The sequence below is a fragment of the Homo sapiens genome, chromosome 13 (genome assembly GCF_000001405.40).
Source record: "Homo sapiens chromosome 13, GRCh38.p14 Primary Assembly".
In the NCBI taxonomy this organism is placed as follows: Eukaryota; Metazoa; Chordata; class Mammalia; order Primates; family Hominidae; genus Homo; species Homo sapiens.
In genome coordinates, this window is record NC_000013.11 from 45203866 (window position 1) to 45217100 (window position 13235).

The 13235-nt window shown below is 38.6% G+C and overlaps 1 protein-coding gene and 1 long non-coding RNA gene across 4 annotated transcripts in view; one reads left to right on the top strand and one right to left on the bottom strand.

Annotated features, from left to right (window-relative positions):
- The window catches only part of GTF2F2 (general transcription factor IIF subunit 2), a 164384-nt gene that overhangs the window by 83356 nt on the left and 67793 nt on the right, over window positions 1-13235 (top strand). For all 3 annotated transcript variants that reach the window (XM_011535052.4, NM_004128.3, XM_017020551.2), the window contains one exon: window positions 3559-3640. In XM_011535052.4, the coding sequence (XP_011533354.1) occupies window positions 3559-3640 (82 nt within the window). The remainder of the gene's footprint in view (window positions 1-3558; window positions 3641-13235) is intronic.
- LOC124903168 (uncharacterized) lies at window positions 4615-8121 on the bottom strand. Its single transcript, XR_007063780.1, has 3 exons — window positions 7166-8121; window positions 5138-5243; window positions 4615-4869 (listed from the first exon to the last, which is right to left on the bottom strand). It is a non-coding gene; the product is annotated as an uncharacterized LOC124903168 (long non-coding RNA).

Consider the following 13235-nt stretch of genomic DNA (forward strand, 5'->3'; position numbering starts at 1 on the left):
TTTATGTACCTGTCTTATCCTACGAGACCAGCAGCTCTCGAAATGTGGTCTGGGAACCACTGGGCAGAGGGGTCCCCGAGATCCTTTCAAGGGATCAATGATGTCAAGACCATTTCTATAATAATGCTAATGGCTTTTTTTTATTTTTTCACTCTCATTCTCTAGAAATTTCTTAATTTTAGTTTCTAATATGGTAGATATCAGCAGTTAAAACTTATAAACAGGTTTTTTGGGAGTCTATACATTTTTCCTTTTAAAAACATTTAAATTTAGGTTTTTTAAGCTTATTTTTAATTGACAAGTAAAATTTGTGTATATTTATGGTATATAACGTGATGTTTTGATATATGTATATGTGTGGAATGGCTAAATCAAGCTATTCATATCTATACTTTTTAACTAATACATGCCACAGAACGTTTAAGAAAGTCTACGCTCCTTGAGGGTAGGAGCCGTGTTTCATTTGTTATTCCTGATGTGCTCTTGCATTGTCTTTTACATAGTAGGCACTCAGTAAATAGTTAAGAAATGTGTGAGAATAAAATGAATTATTTTTCAAGTATTTATGGTCTTTTAAACTGGGTCAACAAACTAGCTTTAAGTAAAGGTTTCTATATTAATGAATAGGATCTATAATTAACAGCAGTAATGTGCAAGTGGGTGCTTTTAAATACTTTTAAAATAAAATTTAATACCTTTCCTTTGAAATCTTAAGCAGTATTTTGAAAAAGACAAGAAGTGTGGTTTAGTGGAAAGAATATGAGAATGTGTTCCTATGAGGCTTTAAAAAGAGAGCAGGCAAATCATGCCTAGGGGGCTGCATCAGGAGTAAATTGGCCTTTTAAAAATGTATTTAAGAAGAGAAGGGGAGAAAGGAAGTGAACAGAGATGTCAGGTTACTTAGGAACATCCAGTGGATGGGAAAATTCGTTGCTGATGAAGACTTTTCCATTCACTTTGAGTAGCATTTGGAAGCTATTTTAGGTTTGAAAAGAAGATATGATAGAAAATTATGGTTTGAGAAAGTAAATGTTATTGCTCTGTGTGAGTGACCTTGACTGAAGAATAGTGAGGAGATTGGTGGCCAAGTTGTAATGGGCAGTTGCTGTGGACCTGATTTCTACCCTTGAGCTGTCATATGGAGAAGGTTGATAGCACAAACCTTTAACTGAAAGTTAAATTCAGCCTGTCCACCTGGAGTAGGTACTGCTAAATAAGTGGGGAGCATTCACTTAGTAAAAGGTAGCTATATTAGTCCATTTTCACACTGCTATAAAGAAATGCCTGAGACTGGGTAGTTTATAAAGGAAACAGGTTTAATTGACTCACGGTTCCGCATACCTGAGGAGACCTCAGGAAACTTACATTCATGGTGGAAAGCAAAGGGGAAGCAGGCACCAAGGTGGCAGGAGGGAGAAGTGAGAGCACAGGAAAAAGCTGCCAGTGAGAACTCACTCATTATCACGAGAACAGCATAGGGGGAACTGCCCCATGATCCAGTCACTTCCCTCCCTTGACACGTGGGGATTATAATTTGAGATGAGATTTGGCTGGGGACACAGAGCCAGACCATATCAGTAGCTCTTTTAGTTGCAACATTAATAAACGTGGATATGTGACTAAATTATTTGCAGGGATAGTAGTCTAGATTTATTTTATTTATTTAGTTTTTTGAGACGGAGTCTTGCTCTGTTGCCAGGCTGGAGTGCAGTGGCACTATCTTGGCTCACTGCAACCTTTGCCTCCTGGGTTCAAGCGATTCCCTTGCCTCAGCCTCCTGAGTAGCTGGGACCACAGGTGTGTGCCACCATGCCTGGCTAATTTTTTATATTTTAGTAGAGACAGGGTTTCACCATGTTGGCCAGCATGGTCTCGATCTCCTGACCTCATGATCTGCCTGCCTCGGCCTCCCAAAGTGCTGGGATTATAGCTGTGAGCCACCGTGGCCGACCTAGATTTATTTTTTTAAAGGATTAATTGTCTTCCTTTATTGGACTTTCCTTATGCATTTAAGACATTTGATATATCAGATTTTCCCAAATCTTGCTATTGTTGTGACGACTAAAGAATTTTTCTTGATAGAACTTTCAGCTTCAGCAAGAGCCAAACTTGAATATAAGCTTTTTGCTTTAAGAAAATTCAAATTTTAATTTTATTAAAGACTTTAATGAGAGGAAATTATTTTTAGAATTTAAACTTTATTATAAAATAATAACGGCTTTTAAAATATTTTCTTCCTGCCATATTTTGGTATAAGGTAGTCATGCTTCTCATCATTGCTTTTTCTGCATCTTCTTGAGATTTGTTGCATATGTTGCATTAAGGGACCCTGGATACATTGATTATATACGGTGTGCTTGTAATTAGTTCGTACAGAGTCTCCTAGATTTTGGAGACATCCAAAGATCACTAAAAAAAGATTTTTTAGTATAAATATGTAGGCATGGTTCTATACACTTTCTGCATTTTGATCAATTTATCTGTCTCCCCCAGTGAACTGTATGCTTCTTGAAAACAGTACTGTGTCTTAATCATCTTGATTCCACAATGCCTAGATGGGGCCTTTTGCATAGCAGACATTTTGCTAATGTTAGTGGAATGAAGTAATTCTCTCTGAAAAGATGAATCATAAATGCACTACTCATGAGCCAGGGAATTTCCTGAGTCTTTTCTTAAAACCCAGGTGAATTCTTGTGGAAATATGACTGTTTCTAACCACAGTCATACATTTCCAGGGTATAAAGCTGGTACCATTATGAGACATTTATATGTGTATTATACAATAAGGTAAGGTCTGTCAAGTGACCACACCACAATGCTTGGTGGCCAGTAGGCACACAATAGATGCTAGCCTTTGTTTCCTTTTTCTGATTCTCCTAGGTTTTATGTCAGAGTCACTATAAGAATTACTAAGGATAGGGGAAATTGCCTTTCTGTTTGGACAAATATTCATAGCAGTTAAAGATTCTGTTTTGACATGCCCAGATTTAGAATTCTGCAGGAAAACAGAAGTCAGAGCAGCTGGCAGGCTGAACTGGTACACAATATAACCCAGACAGTAGACCTGCCCAGTGTCACAGTATTTTCTGGGCTGGCTGTTTTAGTCACAAGGTACTTGAGAATTTTATTCACATACACAAACACACACACACACACACACACACACACACACACACACGGTCTTTGATTTAGTGGTTTAGACTAGCTGTGTTTTCAGAAGTTACTTCTTTGTCAAAGACGATAGCCTTTATACTCTTTAATTTGATTTTATGCCCTTTTAAGCTACCTTATTTAGAAGGAGCAGAGTGTATAAAAGCTGTTCCTGGCAAAGGGCCACAGCAGCCTAATAAACAAATCTGACAGGAGCCCAGTTTGTTACTAAGCCAAGAATAAGGCTTCTCTCTGTTCTGACCAGTGAGATTCCTGAAACTTAACTATTTTTTCTTGATTTTTGATATTAATTATATTTGATTGTCATATTACTGTGTTTAGTGTGTCAAAATACAGTCTTGAAAATGATAAGTATTATCTCTGAATCCTTTTTTTTTTCCATTCAAGATAAGCTGTCATTGGAAGGAATAGTGGTACAAAGAGCTGAATGCCGACCAGCTGCCAGTGAAAACTACATGCGATTAAAAAGGTTGGTGTTTTGTAACTCCAGAATGATACCTGATATTTCCCTTTGGGGATTGAGATACGTGTGTTATATCGCCTATTGACTGCATTAAAACTGTGGTTATTGTTGAGTGTTTGCTTCAAAAGCTGTTTGGTTTTAAAAGCAAGTAAGAGTTTCTTTGGCACTAAAGAAATTTCAGTATCTGGGCTGTTTATTTGAGGTATTTTAAGCTACTTTGTTAATACATCCTGGAATCAAAGTTTTTAAACTACATTTTCTAGTTGTCTTTATAAATTTTGATTCTTTAAAGACATGTATAAGATCTTTGTAATATTTTATTTTCCAGGGCTGTAATTTTTCCATAATAAATATGTATCCGAAATACTGTAACTGGGCCAGGCATGGTGGCACATGCCTGTAATCCCAGCACTTTGGGAGGCTGAGGTAGGTGGACCATTCAAGCCCAGGAGTTTGAGACCAACCTGGGCAACATGGTGATATCCTATCTCTACAAAAAGATAGAAAAATTAGCTGGGCGTGGCTGAGGTGTGAGGATTGCTTGGGCCTGGGAAGTGAAGGCTGCAGTGAGCTGAGAGCATGCCACTGCACTCCAGCCTAGGTGACCCAGTGAGACCTTGTCTCAAAAAAAAAAAAAAAATTGTACTGTATAAAGCAAGTGTAGTTGCCAGAATATCGTCCTATTCTCTTGATCTATAGAGAAATTTTTATAAACATATATACTGTGTTAGAGAGTTTGTTTCAGGATCTTCCCCTGCCCCCTAAATTTTTATGTGGTTAACATTTTGTAATTAGTATTTAAAAATGCTGATTGTAAATTCTTGATACCCCAAATTTTATGACGTTCAAAGAGTCAGCAATTTTTTAAGCCCTGAGGAAATATATTATACCTGTTTCATAGTTTATTTTTAATGTGTTTTAGCCCCATGTGATTTAGAATTATACTTTTTTTGTTCATTCATTCAGTACTTACTGTCTGCCAGGTGCTTTCTTAGAAGTGAGAGAAATAGCTGTAAACAAAGCAGGCAAAAATCTCTGCGTTCGTGGACCTTCCATTGTCGCAGATTGTAGGTACACTGAATCGGTAGTGGAGAAGACACTGCTGAAGTAGTGGTAGTGGCCTGTTGGATATCAGCATTCTCATCTACATAAGAGGCCAGTTGAGCTGGATCATCTCAAAATTTTGCATCATCTTTAAAAGTTTCCTTCTTTTGTCAATTAGATTAGACTGTCTCCTGAGAATGACATAGACATGTTCTCTTGTCAAATAATTCCTCTAATTTAAATGTGTCCTTGGGGCAAATAAAAGAATGACAATCAAAATGAAAAATATTTATAACAGAAAATAGCTTTGGAAAACAGGCAGAAGATGTTTCTTTCATTGTTTTTAGCTTATAAAACTTATTGTATAGTAGTAAATTTTTGAAGTCTTTTTGAAAATTTATCTCTTCATATAACTACTGAAATTGAAAAAATGCAAAATCTGGTTACCAAGCTGCTTACCAAGATCTTTTTCTGTGGCCGTAATTTTCTTTAAAGGGTTCTAAAGATTTCTGATGATGAGATCAGGCAGGTCACCTGCTGTGTTTATAAAATGGCTGCTTTTTTCCTACCAAAAAAGAAGTGAAAATTGTTTAGCCTTTCAAGTATGCTGAAAGATCAGCTGTTACATAGTCATGCACTATATAAGGACATTTGGTGGTCTCATAAGATTACAGTACTGTATTTTTTCTGTTGCTTTTCTGTGTTTAGATACACAAATACTTAAAATTGTGTTACAGTTGCCTACAGTATTCATTACAGTAATGTGTAGCAGAGTATACCATCTAGGTTTGTATAAGTACACTCTATAATGTTTGCACAACAGTGAAATTGCCTAACAATGTATTTCTCATGAGGTATCCCCATTGTTAAGCCATGCATGACTGTATTTTAATCTTTACTTAAGTGACTTAGAAAAAGAAACAAGTGGTTCAGGAGGATCATGTGAGTTTCATGAAGTAGATGATGACATAAGTCTTGAAGACAGCTTTTTTTGACCAAGTGGAGAAAGAGATGGGGTAAGAACATTCAAAATAGACATGCACAAAGACATGGGGAAGACTTTAGGGACCTGTGTGTGGTTCTGTAAGCCTGGAATGGAGGAATTGTTTGAGAGGATGGCAGAAGCTCCAGCCCAGACCTCTTTCTTCAACATCAAACATACATACAAAAGCCGGGTTGAATGTCTGATAGACATTTCAAATATGTAAAAAACTGAACTCCAGATCTTTCCCGCAAAACCCGCTCTACTAGCACTTTTCTTGTCTCAGTTAATACCAACTCTGTCCTCTCATTTTTTCAGTCCAAAACCATTGGTTTTTAGTTAAACCTTGGTTTAGTCTTAGTTCTTGACTCCTCTCACACCCCACATCCAATGTGTCAGAAGAATCTTGTTGACTGTTCCTTCAAAATGTTACACATCCATAGTCTGATCACCCCCATGAACTGCCATTATTTCTTACCTGGATTACTGCAGTAGCCTCCTACCAGAGTTCCTGCTTCCACCCTTGCCCCACTGTAGTCTCTTCTCAGCACAGTAGCCAGGGAAGTTCTTTTAAAATCTAAGTCAGATCATGCCATTCGTCTTTTCAAGTGTCACTTGCAGTGCTTCCTATATTACTCAGAATAAAATCTAAGTCCTTAATAATGATCTACAGGGTCCTATGTGATCATCCTACGACTGTCTACACCTTCTTGCCATCCTCATCTTTTTCTTCCCTCCCCTCCACTCATTCTGCTCCAACCACACCTGTCTCCTAACAATCCATGAGCCCTCCAGGCACACATCCACACTGCAGCCTTTGCACAGACATTCTTTTTTGCCTGGAACAGCCTTTCTCCAGATAAATGCATGGCTTGCCGCCTCACCCCTTTCATGTCTCTTCTCAAAATACCACTTTTTCATGAGGCCTACCTTGACTACCCTACCTCTTTCTGTACTTGTATCTTCTTCATAGCACACGTCACCTCCTACTAAACTATGTAGTTTACTTATATTTATTGCCACGTTTTCCCTCCTGCAATATAAGTTCCCATGAAAACAAAGTTTGTTTTTTTCTTTTTTGACTTTATTTTTTGTGCATGTCGATTTGGCTCACTCATTTACATACACACATTTGTCTACAATAGTTCATTCCACATAGTAGCTAGTCAGTAAATATTTGGTGAGTGAATGAATGGCACAAGATGAGGTTTAAAATGTTAAAGAGTCTTAGATACTATGGTAAGAAATTTGGACAGTGTGCTATAACTATTAAGGAGATATGGAAAAATTTTAAGCTGGGTGGAATCTAAAGGGATTTGTATTTTAGATAGATCATTCTGGCCATAGTATAAAGATTAGAAGCTGGGAGATAAGCTTGAAGCAGATATAATAATCCAGGTTCAAAATGTCTGAATGACTAAACAAGGTGGTTCTAGTCAGAAGGGAGATGAGAGTCTCTTTTGAGGATAGCTGGAGGTAGAGCCAATAGGACTTAATGAACTTACTTCAGACTTCTTTGGTTGTGGAATGGGAGATTCTTCTGGTTGGTGGTGGCTCTTGTGGCCCAGCTGTGAATATCCCAGATTGGCTCCCTGCTGTCCTGTGCATTGCAAGGAAAGTTTACACTGATGAGAGGAGAGGGACAGGGAAGTTTTTGTAGTCCCCGTGTCCATTATAATTTAATCCCATTTGGCAGTTTACATAAGAGACTCGAAGCAGAAAATACATAAAATTGTAAGAACGGTACCAAGGTATAAATTATCAAAATAGCAAACTAATTTAAGTCATGAATTATTTTATTTACAATTACCCAACATTATCACTAAGGTGAGGCTCAAAATTTTTTTTGTTTTTTTTTTTTTAAACTGTGAACAACATGGGTTTGAAATTATTTTTAAATATTTACTTATTTATTTATTTATTTTTAGAGACAGGATCTCACTATGTTGCCCAGGCTGATCTCAAACTCCTAGGCTCAAGTGATCCTCCTACCTCAGCCTCCCAAAGTGCTGGGATTATAGGCATGAGCCACCATACCTGGCCAAGCTCAAAAAAAAAAAATTTTTTTTTTTTTTTTGAGAGACGGAGTTTTGCTCTCGTTGCCCAGGCTAGAGTGCAATGGTGCAATCTCAGCTCACCGCAACCTCCGCCTCCTGGGTTCAAATGATGCTCCTGCCTCAGCCTCCCAAGTAGCTGGTATTCCAGGCATGTGCCACCATTCCCGGCCAATTTTGTATTTTTAGGAGAGACGGGTTTCTCCATGTTGGTCAGGTTGGTCTTGAACTCCTGACCTCAGGTGATCCGCCCACCTCGGCCTCCCAAAGTGCTGGGATTACAGGCGTAATCCACTGCGCCAGCCCAGGCTCAAAATTTTAAAGAATCATAAGATACTATTCTTATTCCAGATAGTTTAGTCTTTAAACCTGAAGAAACACACACACACACGCACACACACACCACACCCCCACATATGCGCACGCACACACACAGTTACCCTACTACCTAAAGGATCTGTTTACAGACAGTGTCGTGGAGGAAAGGCATAGCAACGTGGTAGTGCTATTGAATGTAATATGGAAAGGCAGTTTTCAGATGTAGGTAACATTAAAGTAGAAGTGTTTGAGAACAGAATTGGTAAGTCTGAGATATTCTATACCTAGATTTTTCATAAACATGCTCACAATTTTTCAGGGCCTCCTTTTGACTGCATAGTTTTTAGTCATATTCAAGTTTTTTTATTATCTGGCTCTTGTCTTACTTGTCTTTATTTTCAGCTATTCTCTTTTACATAGGCATTATATAGTTATAGCACACTACAAGTTCTTATCCCACATATGCTTGGCACTTGCCCATATTATGCCTTTGCTACTTAAATGCTGCATCTTCTACCTAGGATTGATTTCTTTCTTTCTTTCTTTCTTGTTTCTTTCTTTCTTTCTTTCTTTCTTTCTTTCTTTCTTTCTTTCTTTCTTTCTTTCTTTCTTTTCTTTCTTTCTCTTTCTCTCTTTCTCACTTTCTCTCTCTCTCTTTCTCTCTTTCTTTCTTTCTTTTTTTTGAGACAAGTCTTGCTTGCTCTGTTTCCCAGGCTTAAGTGCAGTGGAGCGATCTCCGCTCACTCCAGCCTCTGCCTCCCAGGTTCAAACGATTCTCCTGCCTCAGTCTCCCAAGTAGCTGGGACTACAGGCATCCTCCAGCACGGCTGGCTAATTTTTGTAGTTTCTTTTTTTTGTTGTTGAGACAGGGGCTTACTCTGTTGCCCAGGCTGGAGTGCAGTGGTGCGATCTTGGCTCACTACAACCTCCGCCTCCCACCTCCAAGCGATTCTCCCACCTCAGCCTCCTGAGTAGCTGGAAGTACAGGCATGTGCCACCACGCCTGGCTAATTTTTGTGTTTTTAGTAGAGACAGGGTTTCACCTTTTTGGCCAGGCTGGTCTCCAACTCCTGGCCTCAAGTTATCCATCTGCCTCAGCCTCCCAATGTGCTGGGGTTACAGGCGTGAGCCACCATGCCCGGCTAATTTTATTTATTTATTTATTTATTTATTCTTATTCTTCTTCTTATTATTTTTTTGAGACAGAGTCTCGCTCTGTCGCCCAGGCTGGAGTGCAGTGGCGCCATCTCGGCTCACTGCAAGCTCTGCCTCCTGAGTTCACACCATTCTTCTGCCTCAGCCTCCCGAGTAGCTGGGATTACAGGCACCCGCCACCACGCCCGGCTAATTTTTTTGTATTTTTAGTAGAGGTGGGGTTTCACTGTGTTAGCCAGGATGATCTCAATCACCTGACCTTGTGATCCACCCGCCTCGGCCCCTCAAAGTGCTGGGATTACAGGTATGAGCCACGAGGCCCCAGCTTCTACCTAGGATTTCTTATCTACCTCCTACGGAGATCTTTCTGAGCCTTTAAAACCAACCCAGCATCACTTACTCAGGAAAACCTCCTTATAGTTTCTATTCCCCACCCCATTTAGGATCTTGTGTTCCTCTTTTCTGCATTCCCACATATTTAAATGTTTATTCTTCTTTAATGTTTTGGGAATTCATAGTTGTATCCTCTACAACATTATAAACTTCATGAGAGCAGAGACTATGAGTTTTATTTTTCTTTCTTCTTTCCCTCTTAGTCTCCCTGTCTCCTTTCCTTCCTTTCTTTTTTTTTTGTGTAAATATCCAAAAGTATTTATTGGATTGAAATAGAAATGGCAAAGGTAGGTACAGAAATATGAGAATCATCAGCATTCAGCTTCTTTATTAATAATTTTTTTATTTGCACTTACTTGAAACCTGGACTTTATTTTTCAGTTTTGTATATATGCATATTTCTGTGCACACATGTGCACGTGTCTCTTGCTTTGAGAAGGAGAAAGTGATTTCAAAATAAATATAAAAACATTTCATCAACAAATCTGTTTTTCAAAATATAAAGAAATGAATCTTCTATTTATGGAGGACTAGAAGAGAAAGGCTTTTCATCAAAAAAGACCTATTCTTAAGTCAATGAGTCGCTTTTCTTTAATCAGTGAGTTTTTACTGTATTATATTTTAGTAACTAGCAGCTAAACTACATTCTTGGAAACATAAATGACTATCACAAAGTGTATTTCACATTTATAAATAATGATCTTTAAGAATGATTAGTCTTCTTTTAGTGGGAATTTAATTTTAGTAATTCTTACAGCTCTCTGCTGTTAAATTTTGGCTGATAAATTAGCCAGATGTTATGAGAATTATAACCATATTCATCAAATGTAAGTTAGTAAGATTCTGTCATTCATTTAGATAAAGGTGGAAATTAAATACATACTTTCATACTAGTAAATACATACACTAACCCCAAGAAATGACCTTCAGTCGATGAAATTCAGGCCAAGAAGGAAATGATTTCTTTCATCAGATCCCCTCACATAATAAAAAATCCTGCAAGACTCCAGTTAGCCACCAGGAAAATCTAAAACTAACTAAATAAAAACCTAATGATTTTGTTTGCTAGTCTTAAAATTGTTAACAGCCTAACTTTTCATATTGAGAAGAAAAAAGTGTTCTACTACTTCTCTTACTTTTTCTTTATCTGACATTAGTTTGGATTAATCTGAATATTAGGAGAAAAATTACTTTGAATTGGTAAATATAAATATACTTAATATCACATCATGTCTTATGTATTAAACTGATTTAATTTGGATTATTTTAAGTGTAACTTTTATTTCAGCCTCTTGAGCTTTTCCCTAGTCTTTGAATGGTGGCTTATGTGCCCACTCTATAATTCATATTGTACTTTGTTAAGTATAAAGGAACATAAATATAAGGCAATCATCCTAACATATTTTCTTACAGGAAAATCATAGAAATATGAAATTATATGGCTTTTTGACTTCTGTATGTTTATGTCACTAACTCATCTGAAAATACTTGTCTTAAAAGTTTTTATTTTTATTCCAGTGTTTGTGGATTTTTTCCAAAAACCTAAGAAAACCCTTTTCCTATAGAAACACAGGTTCCCATATGATTATAAAACATTCAAATACTAGCTCAAATATTGAATGGGATACAGGTTGAATATCCTTAGTCCAAAAATCTGAAATCATTTCAAAATCCAAAACTACTTGAGCACTGGCATGATGTTCAGAGGAAATGCTTTGAGAAGTGCTCATTTCAGACTTCAAATGTTAAGGATGCTAAGTTTAATGCAAATATCCCCAAATCAGAAACATTGCTGTTCCAAGAAGTATAAGCTGAATTATAAATAGGATGATCATATAATTTATCATTGAAAACAGGATACTTTTGAGAATGAAAGCAGGCACTGGATGTCTCCATTAAAAATGCACTAATTTATAATGTAAAACATTTTATAAATGGTTGTAATAAAAGTATAAAAATACCTTTGGAATAAAACTATAACAGAAAACTAGGCAAGGTGTTTTACCCAGAATTTTTTAAAAGACTAAAACTGAGCCGGGCGTGATGGCTCATGCCAGTAATCCCAGGACTTTGGGAGGCTGAGGCGAGTGGATCACCTAAGGTCAGGAGTTTGTGACCAGCCTGGCCAACATGGTGAAACCCGTCCCTACTAAAAATACAGTAAAATTAGCCACATGTAGTGGCAGGTGCCTGTAATCCCAACTACTCGGGAGGCTGAGGCAGAAGAATCACTAGAACCCAGGAGGCAGAGGTTGCAGTGAGCCATCGCACCACTGCACTCCAACTTGGGTGACAGAGCGGGACTCTGTCTGAAAAAAAAAAAAAAAGACTAAAACTGTTTGTTTTAAGAAAGACTCCTTAGGGAAACTCAGTGGTAGAGATCACCCTCTTTCCTCTGAAGAGCCATAGCAGCTGTCTCTTTCACAGCCTTGAGCTGTAGACTGCCCCTGAAGATTTACTATTGTGATGAAACAAGGACTTCCAAATGGTTGTAAAAGCTCTTGGGAATGTGTATAAAGAATGAGGCCTGGTGCAGTGGCTCACACTTGTAATCCCGGCACTTTGGGAGGCCGAGTCTTGAGCCCAGGAGTTTGAGACCAGCCTGGGCAACATGGAGAAACACCATCCCTACAACAACAACAACAAAAATTAGCCAAGCATGGTGGTGCACGCTGAGGTGGGAGGATGGCTTGAGCCTGGAGGTCAAGGCTGCAGTGAGCTGAGGTTGCACCACTGCACTCCCTCCTGGGCAACAGAGCGAGACCCTGTCTCAAGAGGAAAAAAAAGAAGGCACTGGAATAATTTTAAAAACTCAAAGGTTATACATATATATGTATATTTCCTTCTTGTGATCTCTGATATTTTCACTTTAAGATAGGGGGAGTGAAGGAGTTTTTTCAGTAGCTAAGTGTTGTCTCACCCTGAACATCTCTTGTTTTCTTTGGAATTCCCCATCTCTTCTGCCTGGTCTCTTGTGTTCCGTGGTTAGTGACTCTCCTGACATACCCAAATGTGTGATTTTTAATATGTGGGGCTGTACGTCTTTTTTAATCAAAGTCTTGTGTTTGTTTTTTTGTTTTTTTGTTTTTGAGATAGAGTCTTGCTCTGTCACCCAGGCTGGAGTGCAGCCGTGTGATCTCAGCCCACCGCAACCTCTGTGCCCCTGGGTTCAAGCAGTTCTCCTGCCTCAGCCTCCAGAGTAGCTGGGATTATAAGCATGCGCCACCACGCCTGGCTATTTTTTTGCATTTTTAGTGGGGACAGGATTGCTCCAAGTTGGCCAGGCTGCTCTCGAACTCCTGACCTCAAGTGATCCACCCGCTTCAGCCTCCCCAAGTGCTGGGATTACAGGCATGAACCACCGCGCCGGCCCAAAGTTTGTTTTTGTTTTTAAGGCTATAGAACAGGAATTTCCTTGTGGGGGTCTGACCTCATCTTATTCTGCTGCCATTTTAACTCAGGTGTGCACCATATCAAAGCCAGCCATTTTCACTCTTCCCCAAGTGCATCAAGTGCTTTCATGTCCCTAAATGTCTGCAGTGCTCTTGGTTGCTTTAAGATTCAGCTCAAATGGGCCGGGCGCAGTGGCTCACGCCTGTAATCCCAGCACTTTGGGAGGCCGAGGCAGGTGAATCATGAGGTCAGGAGTTCAAGA